This window comes from Homo sapiens, chromosome 10 (genome assembly GCF_000001405.40).
Source record: "Homo sapiens chromosome 10, GRCh38.p14 Primary Assembly".
Taxonomy (NCBI): Eukaryota; Metazoa; Chordata; class Mammalia; order Primates; family Hominidae; genus Homo; species Homo sapiens.
The window spans coordinates 88,380,138-88,400,153 of NC_000010.11; the positions used below are offsets into that span (position 1 = coordinate 88,380,138).

At 36.3% G+C, this 20,016-nt stretch overlaps 1 protein-coding gene across 15 annotated transcripts in view; it reads right to left on the reverse strand.

The window, feature by feature from the left end:
• Window positions 1-20,016, reverse strand: part of RNLS (renalase, FAD dependent amine oxidase) — a 411,796-nt gene that overhangs the window by 208,615 nt on the left and 183,165 nt on the right. The window lies entirely within an intron of this gene.

Below are 20,016 nucleotides of genomic sequence, written 5' to 3' on the forward strand. Positions count from 1 at the left end.
TTCATGCTTATTGATCATTTGCATTTCTTCTGTGTACTGTCTATTCACAAATTTTGCCTGTTTGACTCTTGGGTTATTTGTCTTGCTCATATTTTCTGCATATTAATCCTACTTTTGTTACCTATATTGCAAATGTATTCAACCAGTTGCTTGCTAGGTAATAGAGAAATTTGAGTTTTATGTATCCGTTCATTGTTTTCATTTTTTAGTCTTGGGGTTTTGTATCTTTTTTTTTTTTTTTTTTTTTTTTTTTGAGACGACGGAGTCTCTCTCTGTCACCCAGGCTGGAGTGCAGTGGCGTGATCTCCGCTCACTGCAAGCTCTGCCTCCCGGGTTCATGCTGTTTTCCTGCCTCAGCCTCCCAAATAGCTGGGACCACAGGCGCCCGCCACCATGCCCAGCTAATTTTTTTTTTTTTTGTATTTTTTAGTAGAGACGGGGTTTCACTGTGTTAGCCAGGATGGTCTCGATCTCCTGACCTCGTGATCCGCCAGCCTCGGCCTCCCGAAGTGCTGGGATTACAGGCGTGAGCCACTGTGCCCGGCCGGTTTTGTGTCTTTTTTAGAAAAAGGCTTTCCCATTTGAAGAATATAAAAATATCCTATACTTTCTTCTAGCACTTTTATACCTTTTCTTATTCATCATAAGATCAGTCTCTGACTCTATCTTGAATTTATTATTTTACATGGTATGGGACAGTGAAAATCTAACTCTTTTTAGATGGATAGTCAGTTGTCTCTGTACCATTTATTTAAATCATCCATTCTTTTTCCATTGATTTGAAATGCCTCCTTTATGAACTAAATTCTTAAATAAATATATGTCTATTTCTAGACTGTCTATTCTGAACCATTAAACTGTTTGATCATTACTACAAAAGTGCCATTTTATTTTAATTTATATAGCTTTTTGATATGTTCTGATATCCAGTAGAACGCATAGTATAGTCTAATTTTTCTTCCCCCAGAAATATCTTTGCAGATTTTAAGAATTTCGTCTTTCAGATAAATTTCAGAATAAACTCGCCAAGTGCCTTGCTTGGCACTTAAGTCACAGCCTTGCTTTGACTTAATAAATTAATGTGTAGCAAACTGACATATTTATTATGTCTTCTTGTATATTAACATGGTATATTTCCCCATATATCCAGGTCATTTTGTAGATCCTTTAGCAAAGTTTTAGAAGTTTTCTTCATCTACTCACGTACAATTATTTTAGGCTTATTCCTAGGTAGTCTGTTGTTTTCGTTATTCTTGTGGATAGTTTTTTAAAAATACAATATTTTCAAATTGGCCATTGCTGAAGTATAGTAAAACTACTGAATTATGTATATATTTGTATGTGTATTTATATATATATACATATTAAAAGTATTTTTTGTTTTTTATATTCAGCTTTTAAAAAATTCTTTTATTAGTGATAATAGGCTTTCAGTTGATTCTCCTTGAATTTTCCCTCTAATTGTAGATGACCGTCCCTTTGAATTATAGATTACACTAGGTTTCTGTGATTAAACAAATATTAAGATGATATATCAAACAGAGACAGTTTTAAAGTACAAATTATATATCACTTAAAAGTTTCTAAATTTTAGAAAAATATTTATCAATGTTTTCTGAAATCTACTTTATACTTAGTTACCTAGAACAGGGGTTGGTAAACTACCATCCATGGGCCAAATCTGACCCCTGTCTGGTTTTTTTATATCCCCCCAGCTGATATAATGGTCTTTAAATTTTTAAGTGATTGAAAAATACAAAAATAACAATTTTTTGGTACATACAAATTATATGAAGTTCAAATTTCAGTATCCATAAATAAAGTTTTATTGGAACCAGCCATGCTCTTTCTTTCATATATATATCTATTATCTATGATCACTTTCCCACTACGATGGCAGAGTAGAGTAGTTGTGACATATTGACTGTATATGTTGCTTTTATTGCTTTGCAGTGCTGCTGGGTACACTACAAATCATACTGACATAGTTATCATTTGATTGTGTTTTACATGCCACGTTGTACTGTGACATCTTATTTTTTAAACTGCCATTTCATACCTATCATCTCAAAACAGTAAAAGAAGAGAAAAGTGGACTTCAAATGACAGGTACAGTGGAGTGTAGATGACTGTTATCAAATTAGATGGCAAAGCATTGTGTCTATTGTGCATGACACTTTGGCTATGCTAAAAAAATACAATATATACAGGCATTTCTAGGTTAAACACTCATCACATTATTCTCAACTCACCAGTAACCAATAGTCATAGAAATAAAAAATTAAATTGAATATATCATCACAGTAGAATTTTTTCACAAAAATAAAAAGTGCAAATAACACTGCATCAAAAATAATTTTCTGAGTAGCTCATTTGTTTCCCAAGCAAGGAAAGCTATTTACTGAGGATGAATAAATTAAATTGTGTTTGATTATAGCAGTTGAATAAATTATCCAGATAGAACAAACCTGTTTAAGACTATTAGCTTTTTGGTGAGAACAGTTGCTTGAATAGTTGAGAATACTGGAAGCAATGGCAATTGTTGATTAAAAGACAAGGCAAGTAATTTTGAGTGGTTTTCCTTGCATCTTGATGAGTTGACAGATATAGCTGATACCACTCAGTTATTATTTATTTGAGGAGTCAATTCTGAGTCTACAGTGATTAAAGAATTAGCCTAATGAATAGCCTGCATTGTAAAACTATAGGTGACAACATTTCCAAAAAAACTGAGAGAACACAAATTCTGCACAACCTGAAGGGGAATCTTCTAAGATGTGTTCCAATAGACGGTGGTAAAATATTTATTTTAAAGCAGAAAAAGGGTTTAATTGTACAAATTCATATAGCTTTTCAAAATGTAAGGCATCTTAAACCTATAGTGACTCATATTATTCATCAGCGGTGCTTTGTGGAACATCTTTAAATCTATCATGTGTAATTGAAACAGTAGTGTCAATGGTGATATTCATTTACTTTTGCGGACTTAACCATCATTAGTCCTGTAAAGTTTTGTTAGAATAGAATCTGAATATTCTACTTCTCTATCACATGGCAGAAACAATTGCTAAGTAGTAGTAACATTTCATTATGATTTGTTTGAGCTCAGGGCCAAGATTGAAATTTTTATGAATGAGATGCACCACTATCACCTATAATTGAATACTGAATAGTTTTGGAAATGAGCTTTCCTACAGACTGTTAATGTTTCTTTAAAAATTCAACCTAAAATTGTTAGGCAAAACAGCACTTACAAGTGAAATTTATACTGTGGTAAAGTCATTTCAGTGACAACTAATGTTGTTTGAATCACATGTAATGTCAAACTGCTTTCTACATTTCCTGTGCTGTCAAAAGTTAAAACAAGAAGCAAGACCTCCATTTCCACACAAACGTGCAGCAGATATATCTTTTGAGTTCAAACTACAATTCCAGCAGTGGATTTTTTTGGACTTTGATGCAAGTGCAAATGAAATTTCCTTATTTCAAAATCCATTTAACTGTGCAATTGAGGAGCTTCCACCTACCCTTCAATTGGAAGTAATTAATATAATGACATGCTAAAAGGCAAATACCAAGAGAAGAATCTAATAGAATTCTTTAAGTGCTTTTTAAGTAATGATTGTGCTAAATTAAAATCATATGTTCATCAACAGATATTAGTATTTGACAGTATCTATTTGTGTGAAAAGATATTTTCAAAGACAAAATATGTAAAACCTCATTATGAATCAGCATTAACAGATGGGCATGGGCAATTGATTCTGATGATAGGAAGCACTAACTTTGAACCCCAATTAAGTGAAATGTTATCACTCTCCCACAATAAAAGAATTCAATTTTTCTCATCAGTAGACCTATATTATAGAAAATTATACTTAACTATTATTATCAAATTTTCCATTTTTGTCAATAAAGATTTATAGAAATTTGTTTTCTATCTTGTCATGTAATTGCCCACATAATATCCTTGATTTTGACTCTTGGCCTAAAAAGTCTAACATATTTACTTTTTGGGTCTTAACAGAAAAATGTTGCCAATCCCTGACATAGACTATTCTCTTATGTCCTTTATTGTCAAAGGTGTCTACTAAAGATAATTCTCAAAATAATTGTATAAGTTCATGTTTGTTGAGTGCTTACTATGTGCAAAGCTGTTTAAGTTCAGAGACTTTCTCAAGGTCAAACACTGGTAAATGAATTAACCATTATTTAGATGGTTAACAATGATATAGATAGTACTGTAGTTATAATTCCCATTTTACACATGAAAAAACTTAGGCTCAGAGAGGCTAAGTAATTCCTCAAAGCCACACAACCTAGGCTTTGCAGCCAGGAAGATGAGATTAAATCATGCTTAATTCCCTTACCAGTGTATGACCTTGGGAAAGGCTGTGAACTTCAATTTCTCTACACTATAAATTGAAAATTATAGTACTGACTATATCATAGGGTTGATTTCAATATTAGATTAATTACTATATAGAAAGCACTTAGAACAACTATAGCTCTAGTGTGGAGTAGTCAGAAATGGCCTGGAAGTTCATTTTTAGTAAAGAGATTAATAAAATAGTTTATTATGTACCAGGAGTTGATGGAGAACAGTTCCCAATTCAGCTGTCAATTTGAGCTTTTCGCTTATGAAATCTATGCTATTGAGTTGACGTTTGTTAAGGAAAAGAACCTAATGTCTGATAAACAGGCAAAAATTAACTATTACATTTAAATGTGACTATTGCAGATGTACTAAGTAGTTGAGAAAGCCAGTTGGGGTCATACTCACTTAGGCTTACACCTAGCTTTGCCTCCTTGTTAGCTGTGTGACCTTGGTCAAATCACTTAACCTTTCTGAGCTGAGGTACCCTCCTCTATAAAATGTGGATTTTAAGTAGGCTATTATAGAGGATGATGTGAGGATTTTAAAAGACCATGCATCAAAAGTACCTAAGATGAAGCCTGATTTAAGAATGAGCTCAGCAAATGCTAGCTCATTTCCTTGGATTAGCCTTTCTACACTGACCCAAGGCTTGCAAGGCAAAGCAAAACTAAATAAAAGCAAAATGAAGTTAAAAAGCCCAAACAAATAAAAACCAATTTGTTAATTGGGTGTTGGTGGATAAAAAGACTCTGAAAGTACATCCAGTCAAATTTGAATTTCAGGTAAACTATGAAATTATTTGTAGTATAAGTATATAAGTATGTAGTGTAAGTATCCCAAGCATTGCATGGGATATACTTACACTCACTAAATTCTTCACTGTTTATTCAAAATTCCAATTTAACTGGATGTCAGGTATTTCTATTTATTAAACCCGGCAGCCTAGACATGGTAGAATTTAGTAAGCCCAGACATGACAGACTCCTGAATAGCCAAGGCACAGAATTCAAAAGAGTCAAATGTGTTTCCAACTTGCTAACTGCAAAAGCATCAAGGAAAAGGTTGACCCCACCCTCTCTGTCTCTGCCAAGCAAAGAGCCCAGATGGGAAACCCCAGGTGAGTGATTTAGCCTCCTGTGCATACTCTATGGGATCCTGGTGCAGAGGTTGCTGGGAAAACCGTGGCAGCCTGCCCTAGGTTTTCCTTCGGGTGGGGCCCTGTGGTTATGGTGTGGTGACTCTTTGTCACGGTGCCCCTGCCACGCCCTGCTTAGTCCACCTGGTGGTTGGGGGTAGGGGAGAAGAGAAGTTACAGGCAGAAAAAAAGGACTTATCAATGTAACATATTTCTTAGGTGGTTTGTGCATTGCTGTTTGGGCTTGCAAAACTTTAATTATTACTTTGATGCAGAGTGGCTGCAGATTGTCACTGCCAGGCCTGATTTAATAGCCTGCTTGCACAAAGTCCGACAGAGATTGCTTTTGTTGCACTTTCTAACAGCTCGTGATGGTGGCTTTTTTACGTTAAGGAGGAAACTCTGTGGTTAAACTGTAGCCTAGGTATTTTTAGAGCCGTTACCATGTTAACCGAAATTTCGTACATTTCACCTGCAGGATATGCAGTCGTGCTTAGGGCCTTCCTTAAACTCTAACAAAAAATATAATTTAACAGTTGTTAATACTGTGCTTAGGACCAACTCCATGTTATCAGAAAAGCTACTGACCAAATACTGGACTGCTAAGAATCCTTTTTTTGGATGGGTGGTACTGTGCCATTAGAGAGTATTTTTTTTTCCTTGATATAAAACGAGTTGAAGGAACATAACCAAAAGGCTAAAATTGGTTAGTTCTAAAGGTCAGAGCCTGAAGGCAGTGACCCATTTGTTAATCATTAAGCTTTTCTAAGCCGTCTCTGACAGAATTCTGGCTTTCTGCCACTTCTCTGGTCATTTTAAACTGCAAATTCTTGTACTGTTTCAGTTTTTAAGTAGGTTTCAAAGGTTATGAGAAAGGCATAACTTGTTAGCTATTTTTCCTTATCAAACGTCTTTAGGGTTTTGGAAGGCAGAGCTGTTCTGTGTTAAGAGAATCCTCACAGCATACCCAGCCATACAGCATTTAAAGATGGACTCTTGGGTCCTCTGAAAAGGGTGGATTTCTAGCTATCATTCCCATGTTACTTAGTTTCCATAGATAAGCAGGATGTGAGGGCTGAGGACACCCACTTAGCCATTAGGTATTAGTTCCCAAATCACTGCTATCTCAGGGTAGTTGTCTCCAATAATCCCAGCACTGAAAGTTCAAAAAACAGGAGCAAAATAACCACAATGTATTTATCATCTTCTGTCATCAGTTATAAAGTGGAAGTACTTTAAAATATTTTGAATGCATTTTTGTAAAGCCCAGTGAGGTTCCAGTGCTATGACGTTTCATTGCCAGAAAACTCAATGCCAGTTTATGCTCTAGTCCATCTGAATAAAAAGTGATCTGTACACCCAAAACACATAAACAGAACTAAATTTTATGTAGCCAAGGGACATTAAGCTGCTAAAACATTTGCTTCAATATTGAACATGGAATAGCTGTCCTCTATTTCTCAAGGGAAAAAATATACAGTCAAACCTTGCTTATCCATAACCCAAACTTCCGGAAGCCTTAAGTATTTGGAACTGCTCCAAACCCAGAAGAGGGGAGGAGTGAGAGGAATAGAGTGGGGGTGGGAGAAGTGGGGAGCAGAGAGAGACAGAGAATGAACTAGCGGAAAGCAAGCAAGTCAGCTTTTAGAAGTAGACCTGAAGCCCTAGCAACACTGAAAAGAGACCTGGAGCTTACATCTGATTGGCTTTCCAGCCAGAAGGAATAGAGAGCTCTGATTGGCTGGTGATGATGTCTCCAAATAACCAGCCTTTTTCAGGAAAGCAAATTTATGTGGCAGAAAGGACAAGAGACAGAAGAAGCACGCAAGAAGAAAAGCGAGGAGAACAGAGCAAAAAAAAAAAAAAAAAAAAAAGGAAGATTATTTGTTACAGTGGTGGAGACTGAGACAAAAATGAGAATAACAAGCCTATTTACGTAACTGCTTACAGTTTACAAAGTGCTTTTACATGTAATCATTGATATTGTCTTTACAAAGACCTGCAGGGCTCCCAGAAGTTAAATGGCATGCCCCAGGTCACCCAGCTAGTAAGAAAAATAGTGCATGTCTTCTGGCTAAAAATCTAACACTTTTGATATGGAGCAGGTGTTGTGGAGATAATGATTTAGAGTTGTCCTGTAGGACAGAGGGAAGCAAATGCTCTGACAGCAGAAAAGAAAATCAGAAGGCACGTCAGCCTGTAGTTTAGCGGGCAATGCAGACAGGAGTGAAGGGCTCCCTGTTCTTCACGACCACACACCTTGAAAACATAGATATAGGAAACATCTCTGTGGGTATTTGGAAGGGGAGATGGTTGTGGTACAAATGAAACCTATGTCTAGAGGGCTCAGAGGGCAGTCCTGAATATATTTCCCTGGGGTGTATCACAGTCGCCTTTCATTTAACACGTAGAAGTTGGATACCTAATTATTCCTTCCATCTATCCTTGAAAGCTGTTCCTTCCTCAGGCTTAGTCGACAACATAACCATTCACCCAGTTGCTCAAGCTAAGAACCTGTAAGTCATCTTTGTCTTAATTTTCTTTCCATGTTTAATTTATCAGCAAGTCCTGTAGATTCTACTTCTAAAACACACCTTGAATAAGGCTACTCTGTTCATCTCCATAATCACCATTGTTTTCTCCTTCTGAGCCACTGCAATAACTTGCTATTTGGTTTCAATACTTTCTGGCACCCTGTCTTCCCCAGCTCTTGCCTCCTTCCCTTGAAATCCATTCTCTGGACTATGCCATCCTGCTTAAAACATGCCTGAGAATAATTCAAAATCCTTCCCAGGATCTGGCCCCAGTTTAATTTGCCTCACTCTGCCTAGGACTCACTGTTCTAGCTATGGAGGCCTCCTTTTTGTTATCAGAACACAGCACAGTCTTTCCAGCTGAAGAGACTTAAATATTTTGCTGGTCCCTGTCTCCATGTTATCACATGGCTAGCTCTTTCTCCTATCTCATGCTATCTACACAGACAGTCCTACTCTCACAAGCTGTGTGAGAGTTCCCTTCATTCTCATAGAACCTTTTTATTAACTTTCTGTGACCTCTCAAACTGAAATTACTTATGTTTTTATTTGATTCCTTGTTTATCATCGTCTTTTTATATGACTTCCCCCTACTAGTAATCAAACTCCATTAAGACAAGGATCAGGTCAATTGCCCTCATCACTGTATCCCCAGAGCTTACAACGTGGTACACAGGAGATACTCAATAACTATGTGTCGAATGAATAAGTGAATAAATATCAGGGAATTAACATACCCTACATGTTACATAGTACCATGCATCAGTGGAGCCATGGATATGAGACACTGTGTTTCCTGTTTGTAACCTGTTATTTGTTAATTCCTGTCAGAGTTGAGAGCTCTGATAGTAGCTGCCATCATCTGGGGAGTTCTATGGAATCTTGCCACCATGAGTTCTGGAAAAGGGAATCTGTTTGTGTTGGGACTTGAGGGATGGTATAAATTAACTCCCAAGGTTTATTAGTAGTAAACAATTAAAATCCACCCTGAAATTGGAGCTTTACTAAAGATGGCTATTTTGTAGCATGTAGGAAATTACGATATTGGTTTACCTCCTAGGATTCAAAAAGCATTCATTCTCTTTTGGAGCCAGAAAAGGAGAGGTATGTCTCCTAACAGAACTGTGCTGGGTTTTTTTTTGTTATTGTTGTTTTCTTTTTTTGACAGTCTGTGGAGCTCACACATTGGCCATAATAAAGCCTGCTATCTATTTTTGATTTGTCAAAGTTGTGCTTGAGAGTGATTAACATACCCTTAGCAAAATGAATCATTCTATAGAGATTTAAAAGTCACGATGGAATAAATATCTTGGTCAAAGGTATTGCTGCTTTAATTACATTCATTTGTTTCAATATTTCGGTTTTAGGGATTTCTTAACTGAGTTGTTAAGGATCCTTTTAGGGATTTCTTAACTGAGTTGTTAAGGATCCTTTTGAAAGTGAAGTTTACCATGGTGCCCTCTGGTGGAATGAAATTCGCACAGTTTTTAAAGCTAAAGCCCTATCTAGTGAGAATGCATACAGAAATAAAAGGAGCAACATTAAATACAAATGTCCAAAAACTATAAGCAGGGTACTCTTGCTATTGGGGGACTACAAGATATACCTGCCTCAGAATATTTACAGATTCAGGGATAGGGCATGTAGTTGCTATAAAGGAAGAGCAATGACATAAATACATACAATTCCAAATCCATTAGAAAATGAGGGCCAGAAGCCACAGCATTTCATATCATCTGGCAACACTGACACTGACTAATTAGGTATTATATTGAGAAAGTCAGAAGAAGGTGATGGCAATTACAGCATTTGCAACAATATTCATAAATAGCTAGGAACACAAGGGGGAAATACAATTTGGTTGTGGTCTATCAAGAACCAGTGGATATTCATTTGATAGGACTTTTGTAATTAGGCTCACCATCAAAGCTGATAAAATCATCAAAATGGTAAGTGTCCCAGTGTTGGTTCCTTGAAACTGTGTTGTGACCAGACTTAGTGACTCCTTGATAAAGCAGCTTTCACGTGTCTTCACAAGGAAATAAAGTGAAAGTCTCTGGGACGCTATCTGGGTCACACACCACAGGGATCCTGCTCAGAGGATTTAGAACATTGGACCAGCTCACTAAGGAAAGATGTCAAGGCCCTTCTTTGAGGACCTAAGGAAGTTTTTAATATTCGTTCGTCTGAATGCACTAAATAAAACTCTCATTCCAAATAAGATAAAAGAGGGGAAAAAAGTGTTTGAGCATCCAATCCCCCAAAGTGTCTGCAAATTATTTAGTATTATTTCAGTACTCAAACTTCCTGAAAGGTGGAATGTGGGGCAGAGGAGTAGTGAGCAGGGACCATAGCACACATGCATTTAGTCAGCTTGTTGGTTTTCTTATTGGGGACCTTTCTTTGAAACTTGGTGCACCTCAGATTTTAAAAAACCCAAAGCCAAAAAACAACTAACAGCTGGCTCTTCTAAAGCAGTGGCTCTCAGAGGAATGGTACTGCCTTCTAGGGGATATTTTGGAAGTTTATGAGGGCCATTTTTCTTGGGAAGGGTGTCTCAAAGTATAAATTATTATGGGACTGTTAACTGACATTCAGTGGGTAGTAGTCAGGGAGGTAAGGGGAAGTTCCATATCATGTTAGATTTTACTGTCCCACCAACTATTCATGTAGATTTTTAAAAAATCTGTATGTAATGATTTAAGCCTAGGACCAAATTCAATCTTACATAAAAAATTAAATATTTCTTTTCATGGTTTTAATAGACACCTAATTTCCCATAAATGCAAATCCAATGTAAACTAACTGAAGACTATACTTTGTTTCATTTGAACCTTACTGAGAATTGTTAATCATTTTTGAAAATTATAATATCAATATCCATGGCACATATGACATTTGAATCCTCTGAAAATATAACTGCAATAATTTGTAACATCCCAATTCAAAGTGATTATACAAACAGGTGTGTCTGATTATGTCTTCCAGTGTAGTTGTCCCCAAGCATTTTCAATTATTATTATGATATTCCTTTCTTCTTCTTTAAATTACAATTAGGCAATCATATTAGTAATTTTAAAATAATGTGTACTGGCCAGGAATAGTGGCTCATGCCTGTAATCCCAGCACTTTGGGAGTTCCGAGGCCGGTGGATCACAAGGTCAAGAGGCCGAGACCATCCTGGCCAACATGGTGAAACCCCATCTCTACTAAAAATACAAAAATTAGCCGGGCATGGTGGTAGGCACCTGTAGTCCCAGCTACTTGGGAGGCTGAGGCAGGAGAATTGCTTGAACCCAGGAGGTGGAGGTTGCAGTAAGCCAAGGTCGCGCCACTGCACTCCAGCCTGGCGACAGAGCGAGACTCCGTCTAAAAAACAAAAAAATGTCTTGGTAGGTTATGTTATCCATGAATTTCATTTTAGAATAGTTAGAGATGTTATTAAAAATATTTGTTATTAAAAGAGGACATGGGGTGATAATGAAAATGGCAAAATAAGGGACTCTGAAAACCCTCTCCTCCATACAAGCAATAAAAATACTGGCAAAAATTGTCAGTGTAAACTTTTTCAGAACTCTGGAAATTAATCAAAGACTAGCAGAAATCAGGTAAGCTTTTATTTAAAAAAATGGCTGAATGTCAGTAAAAACTAAGCTTTTTTGTCTTTTACTCTGCTCTTTTCTCATTCTCCCTCCCCTGCCCCCAGCTCTGCAATAACCTGGGAAACCAACAACTTGCAATCATGATAAACACTGGCAGTCTGGCAGCCCCCGGAGGGGATAGAACAGGGTTAGCGCTCTCTCCAAACTCCATTTCCAGAGAACTATCATTATTTGACCTGTCTGATGGTTCCCTGAAATATTCCACTCATAATATTGTCTCTATGTGACTTGACTTAGAGTTCACCCAATGTGAATATTTTTCTTAACAGAAATGATTTTCAATTATTTGTAGAAAAGACTGAGTGGCAATTGTTTCACATCACTGTTGCCTGAGGCAGTACATAAGAGTTGAAGCAAATAATCAGCTTACCAAAAGCTTAAAAGGAGAAGCTGTGGAAAGATACGTCCACAGGATGATTTGAAAAGCACAGACATAATGCTGGGAAACTAGAAGTACAAGTTCATGTGTAGGGATGTGAGCATACTCAGTGCTATCTGCATGCTCAGCTAAGACCTGAGAAAGATCTAAATTCTCAACTCTGCCTAACCTTGTGGCTCTATGGAGGCAGGAAGTGAAAGTGAAGGCAGAGTTTCATACTGCCTGCTGGAGTGTTCAAGGTGTGCTCCAAATGCACACAGAGCCCTTAGGCAAAGATTGGAGGACTTGTGAGCTCCAGGAATTTAAGAAAATCTTTGTCCAATCATTAGCTGAACACTAAGTCAGCTATCAGAGACTCCAATGGCCACCTATGACAAAGAAATCACATATTAAATAATTAGCTCAAACAAAACAAGCACCAACTACAAACAGCAACTTTCACAAACCCTGGGGAGGTAGGAGATTCTGATTTCAAGAGTTGCAACATTTTTTAAAATGTAGTTTCAACAAAAAATTAGGAGACATTCAAAGAAACTAAAAGTATGGCACACATGCAGTACAAAAGCAGTCAATATAAACTGTCTCTCAGGCACATCAAAAAGCTTATCCACCATGATCAAGTGGGCTTCATCCCTGGGATGCAAGGCTGGTTCAACATATGCAAATCAATAAATGTAATCCAGCATATAAACAGAACCAAAGACAAAAACCACATGATTATCTCAATAGATGCAGAAAAGGCCTCTGACAAAACAAAATTCAACAACCCTTCATGCTAAAAACTCTCAATAAATTAGGTATTGATGGAACGTATCTCAAAATAATAAGAGCTATTTATGACAAACCCACAGCCAATATCATACTGAATGGGCAAAAACTGGAAGCAGTCCCTTTGAAAACTGGCACAAGACAGGGATGCCCTCTCTTACCACTCCTATTCAACATAGTGTTGGAAGTTCTGGCCAGGGCAATCAGGCAGGAGAAAGAAATAAAGGGTATTCAATTAGGAAAAGAGGAAGTCAAATTGTCCCTGTTTGCAGATGACATGATTGTATATCTAGAAAACCCCATCGTCTCAGCCCAAAATCTCCTCAAGCTGATAAGCAACTTCAGCAAAGTCTCAGGATACAAAATCAATGTACAAAAATCACAAGCATTCTTATACACCAATAACAGACAAACAGAGAGCCAAATCATGAGTGAACTCCCATTCACAATTGCTTCAAAGACAATAAAATACCTAGGAATCCAACTTACAAGGGATGTGAAGGACCTCTTCAAGGAGAACTACAAACCACTGCTCAATGAAGTAAAAGAGGATACAAACAAATGGAAGAACATTCCATGCTCATGGGTAGGCAGAATCAATATCGTGAAAATGGCCATACTGCCCAAGGTAATTTATAGATTCAATGCCATCCCCATCAAGCTACCAATGACTTTCTTCACAGAATTGGAAAAAACTACTTTAAAGTTCATATGGAACCAAAAAAGAGCCTGCATTGCCAAGTCAATCTTAAGCCAAAAGGACAAAGCTGGAGGCATCACGCTACCTGACTTCAAACTATACTACAAGGCTACAGTAACCAAAACAGCATCATACTGGTACCAAAACAGAGATATACACCAATGGAACAGAACAGAGCCCTGAGAAATAATGCCGTATATCTACAACTATCTGATCTTTGACAAACCTGACAAAAACAAGCAATGGGGAAAGGATTCCCTATTTAATAAATGGTGCTGGGAAAACTGGCTAGCCATATGTAGAAAGCTGAAACTGGATCCCTTCCTTACACCTTATACAAAAATTAATTCAAATGGATTAAAGACTTAAATGTTAGACCTAAAACCATAAAAACCCTAGAAGAAAACATAGGCAATACCATTAAGGACATAGGCATGGGCAAGGACTTTCATGTCTAAAACACCAAAAGCAATGGCAACAAAAACCAAAATTGACAAATAGGATCTAATTAAACTAAAGAACTTCTGCACAACAAAAGAAACTACCATCAGAGTGAACAGGCAACCTATAGCATGGGAGAAAATTTTTGCCACCTACTCATCTCACAAAGGGCTAATATCCAGAATCTACAATGAACTCAAACGAATTTACAAGAAAAAAACAAACAACCCCATCAAAAAGTGGGCAAAGGATATGAACAGGCACTTCTCAAAAGAAGACATTAATGCAGCCAAAAAACACATGAAAAAATGCTCATCATCACTGGCCATCAGAAAAATGCAAATCAAAACCACAATGAGATACCATCTCACGCCAGTTAGAATGGCGTTCATTAAAAAGTCAGGAAACAACAGGTGCTGGAGAGAATGTGGAGAAATAGGAACACTTTTACACTGTTGGTGGGACTGTAAACTAGTTCAACCATTGTGGAAGTCAGTGTGGCGATTCCTCAGGGATCTAGAACTAGAAATACCATTTGACCCAGCCATCCCATTACTGGGTATATACCCAAAGGATTATAAATCATGCTGCTATAAAGACACATGCACACGTATGTTTATAGCGGCACTATTCACAATAGCAGATACTTGGAACCAACCTAAATGTCCAACAATGATAGACTGGATTAAGAAAATGTGGCACATAAACACCATGGAATACTATGCAGCCATAAAAATTATGAGTTCATGTCCTTTGTAGGGACATGGATGAAACTGGAAACAATCATTCTCAGCAAACTATTGCAAGGACAAAAAACCAAACACCGCATGTTCTCACTCATAGGTGGGAATTGAACAATGAGAACACATGTACACAGGAAGGGGAACATCACACACCGGGGACTGTTGTGGGGTGGGGGGACGGGAGAGGGATAGCATTAGGAGATATACCTAATGCTAAATGACGAGTTAATGGATGCAGCACACCAACATGGCACATGTATACATATGTAACAAACCTGCATGTTGCGCACATGTACCCTAAAACTTAAAGTATAATAATAATAAAATTAAAAAAAAAGTATCAAGAACTTTAAAAGATGAAAAAAAAAAAAAACCTCTCTGAGGAAGCCCAGACATTGTACTTACTAGACAAAGATTTAAATAAGCCATTTTAGTTGCATTCAAAGAATTAAAGAAAACTATGTCCGAGGAACTAAAGACAAGCATGAGAATGATTTTGCATCAAATAGAGATCAATAAATAGATAGAAATATAAAATAGAGCAAAACAGAAATTCTGGAATTGAGAAGTAAAATAACAGAAGAAAAAATTTTACTAGAGGGGCTCGATAGAAGATTTGAGCAGGCAGAATAAAGAATCAGCAAACTTGAAGATGAGTCAACTGATGCTATCAAGTCTGAGGAGCAGAAGGAAAAAAGAATGAGGAAAAATGAACAAAGCCTCAGACATTTGGGGAACACCATCAAATATATGCACAGTGGGAGTCACAGGAGAGGAGAGAAAGGAGTGGAAAGAATATATATATAAATAATGGCTAAAACTTTCCAGTTTGATAAAAAATCATGAATCTACATCCAACAAACTCAACACACTCTATGTAGAATAAAATCAGAGAGATTCATACCTATATGCATCATAGTCAAACCACTGAAATACAAAGACAAAGAGAATCTTGAAGCAGCAAGAAAGAAGTGACTCATTATGTTCCAGGGATTCTCAATAGGATTAGCAGCTGATTTCTCATCAGAAACTATGGTGGTCAGAATGCAGTGGCATGACATGCAAAAAGCTGAGAGAAAAAAACATCTACCAAGAATTCTACATTCAGCAAAACTATCCTTCAGAAATGAAGGAGAAATCAAGACACTTTCAAATAAGCAAAAAAACTGTGGTAACTCATTGGCAGCAAATCTGCTCTTCAAAAACTACTCAAGGAAGTCCTTCAGGCTAAAATGAAAGGTCAATAGACTATAATTTGAATCCATATGAAGAAATAAAGAAAACTGGTAAAGATACCTAAAAAGTAAATATAAAAGAAAGCACAAATTTCTTTCTGTTTGTAGCTCTTTATCGGATTTGAAAGACAACTTTAGAAAGTAATAATTATAAATCTGTGTTAATGTGTATACAATGTACAAAGATGTAATTTGTATGACCAAGGAAGCACAACAAAACAGGGAGAGACTGGAGCTATATAGGAGCAGAGGTTTGGTATACTATTGAAATTAAGTTCATATTAATCCAAACTAGATTGTTGTAAATTAAGATATTAACTGCAAGCCCCAGGTTGACTACTAATAAAATAACTTTAAAAAATATATTAGTATTAATAATATAATAAATGACAAGAAAATTAAAATGATACACTAGAAGAATTCTACTTAATACCAAAGAAGGCAGTAATGGAGAAATAGGGGAATAAAAAATGACTTAAGACATATAGAAAACAAATAGCAAAATGGCAGACATAAATCCTATCTTATCAGGAATTACATTAAATGTAAATTAATTAAACGCTGATTTAAGGCTTAGTTTGGCATAATGGATTAAAAAAAAAAAAACCTGATCCAACTCTATGCTCTCTATAAGAGGTGCACTTTAGATCCTAGGTTGAAGGTAAAAGGTTGGGAAAAGATATACCATACAAACAAAAACTAAAATAGAACTAGAGTGGTTACACTAATACCAGAAAAAATAAAATTTAAGAAAAAATCCCTTACTAGAGACAAGATTATTTTATAATAATAAAAGGGTTAATCCACTAAGAAAATATAACAATAATACACAAATGTGCACCAAACAACAGGGTCCCAAAATACATGATGCAAAAACTTACAGAAGTGAATGGAAAAATAATATTTGAAGACATCACTTTCCCACTTTCAATAATGGATAGAACAGCCAGACAGAAGATCAATAAAGAAATAGAGGACTTGAACAACACTATAAACCAATTAAACCTGACATGCATATACAAAATATTTCACTCAATAACAGCAGAATAATACATTCTTCTCAAGTGTACATGAGACATTCTCCAGGATGAAGCCTGTGTTAGGCCATAAAAAGAAGTTTCAGTAAATTTAAAAGAATTAAAATGATAAAAAGCATGTTCCCTGGTAGCAATGAAATGATATTAGAAACCAATAATAGACAGAAACATAGACAGAAATTTGGAAAATTTACAAATACATGTGAATTAAGCAACACACACCTAAATAGGACAAAGATCTAACAAGGGACGTTAGAAAATACTTTGAAATAAATGAAAATGAAAACACAATATACCAAGCCTTACTGGATGTAGGTAAGCAGTGCTTAGAGTAAAATTTGTAGGTGTAAATGCTTATATTAAAAGAAAGAAAGATCTTAAATCAATAATCTGACATTCCAACTTACAAAACTAGAAAAATAAGAGCAAAATAGGCCCAAAGAAAGCAGAAGAAAAAAAATAATAACTATTAGAATACAGATAAACAAAATAGAGATAGAAAACAGAGAGATCAATGATTCATAGATCCAACACAATCGCTATAAAATCCCTGCTGCTTTTATTTTGCAGAAATTAACAAGCTTATTTTAAAAGTCATATGAAAATTCACACAGCTAAAATAGCCAATACAATCTTGAAAAAGAAAAAAAAAAGTGAAGGACTCACACTTCCCAATTTCAAAACTTACTACACAGCTACAGAAATCAAGACAGTGTGGTACTGGCCATAAGGTAGACATCTAGATCAATGAAATAAAATTGAGAGTCCAGAAATAAACCCATATATCTATAGTAAATTGATTTTGACTGGGGACCAAGACCACTCAGTGGGGGAAATAATGGTCTTTTTGACAAATGGTTCTGGGGCAACTGGATATCTACATAAAAAAGAATGAAGCCATGTTTTCGTACATGTTTTTAAGATTATTTGGGCATGGCAAGGCCAACAGATCAGAAGATGACTGCCATTGCAAAGACAGTTTGTTATACTCATAGATCCCAAAAGAAGAGGCACACCACACCACGGAAGGCCACACATGGGAGATCCAGGATCAACAAGAGGCAGAGGAAAAGGGAAAATTGTGAACAAGAGCCTTAACTGTAATTTTTGTGAAAGGAATAAGTGAGTCAGGGTAAGCAGATGTAGGATTGGCTACTTTGAATAATTTTAGTGGGCTTTGGAGCATAGGGGAAGTCCCTAGTTGTATGGTACCTGGCCTTAGGCAATTAAGGTAGGTGGATAGTGGCCCAGAGTGTGAGAGCTGGTTAAAGAAGATGGTTGAGGTTAAAAGCTCTGGATTGGGTGATTAGCATTTGAAAGAAATCCTCATGGGCTGGTGGTTTACTATATCTAAGAATTGACTAACTCTAAAAGGGTCAGTTCCTCCAGCATCATCAGGGCCCAAGACACTAAAACATCAGAATATAGAAAATAAAAGACATGGTTAATACAAGGTGGATATCTACTTTACACGGTCTACAAAAATCAACCCAGAATAGAGCAAAGATATGAATGTAAGAGCAAAAACTATAAGACTCTTAGAAGAAAACAGGCATAAATTTTCAGGACCTTGGCTTAGGCAATGGTTTGTTAGGTATCAACAGAACAAACAACCAAAGGGGGGCAAAAAGATAAATTGGACTTCATCAAAATTAAAAACTTTGTGCTTCAGAGACTAGAAACAAGAAGTTAAAAAGTCAACACATTGAATAGTAAAATATTTGCATATCATATATCCAATAGGGAACTTCTATCTAAAATACACAAAGAACTCTTATAATTCAATAATAAAAACATAAATAACCCAATTAAACAGTGGACAAAAAATCTGAATAGATGTTTTTTCCAAAGATTATAAACAAATGGCCAAAAAGCACATGAAAAGATGCTTAACATCATTAGTCATTAGGGAAATGGAAATCAAAACCACAATGGCATATCATTTCATACCTCCTAGGATGGCTAAAATCAAAGAGACAATAACAAGTACTGGCAGGAATATAGTGTCATTGGAACCCTCATACATTGCCACTGGGAATATAAATGGTACAACTCCTTTGGAAAACAATTCCTCAAAAAATTATACATAGAGTTACCATATAACTTAGTGATTTCACTCCTAGGTGTATACCGAAGACAACTAAAAAGAAATGTTCAGACAGAAACTTGTACATGAATGTTCGTAAAATTTTTATAGCAATAATATTTATAATAGCCAAAAAGTTGAAGCAACCCAAATGTGCATTAATTGATGAATGGATAAACAATTACGGTATATCCATACAATGGAATATTATGCAGTCAGAAGAAGCAATGAAGTACTCATTCATGCTATAACATGGATGATCCTTGAAAATATTATTCTAAGTGAAAAAAAGCAGACACACAAGTCCACAACTGTATTATACAAAACATCCAGAATAGGCAAATGCATAGAAACAGGAAGTAGATTAATGGTTGCCAGAGGTGGGAATGGAGAGTAACTACCAATGGGCATGGAGTTTCTTTTTGACGTGATGAAAATATTCTAGAATTATACAGAGGTGCTTGTTACACATCTCTGTGAATACATAAGGGTGATTTTTATGGTATGTGAATTATATCCCAATTTTTAAAAAAGGACAATGGGTTGGTATTAGCTCCCTGTGGTTGCTACTTGGTGGCTTAAAACAACAGAAATTTATTTTCTTAGAGTTCTGGAGTCTATAAGTCAGCAGTTTCATTGGGTAAAAACCAAGTTGTTGGTAGGGTTCACTGTCCCAGAAGGATCTAAGGGAGAAGTTGTTCCTTGACTCTTCCAGCTTCCGGTGGCTGTCAGCATTCCTTGCCTTGTGGCTATTTCACTCGAATCTCTTACTCTGTGGTCACATTGCCTCCTCAGTGTTTCTGTCAAATCTTTCTTTGCCACTCTCTTATAGGGACACTTGTGACTGGATACAGGGCCCACCTGGATGATCCAGGTTAAGCTCTCCATCTAAAGATCTTTAACTTAATCACATCTATA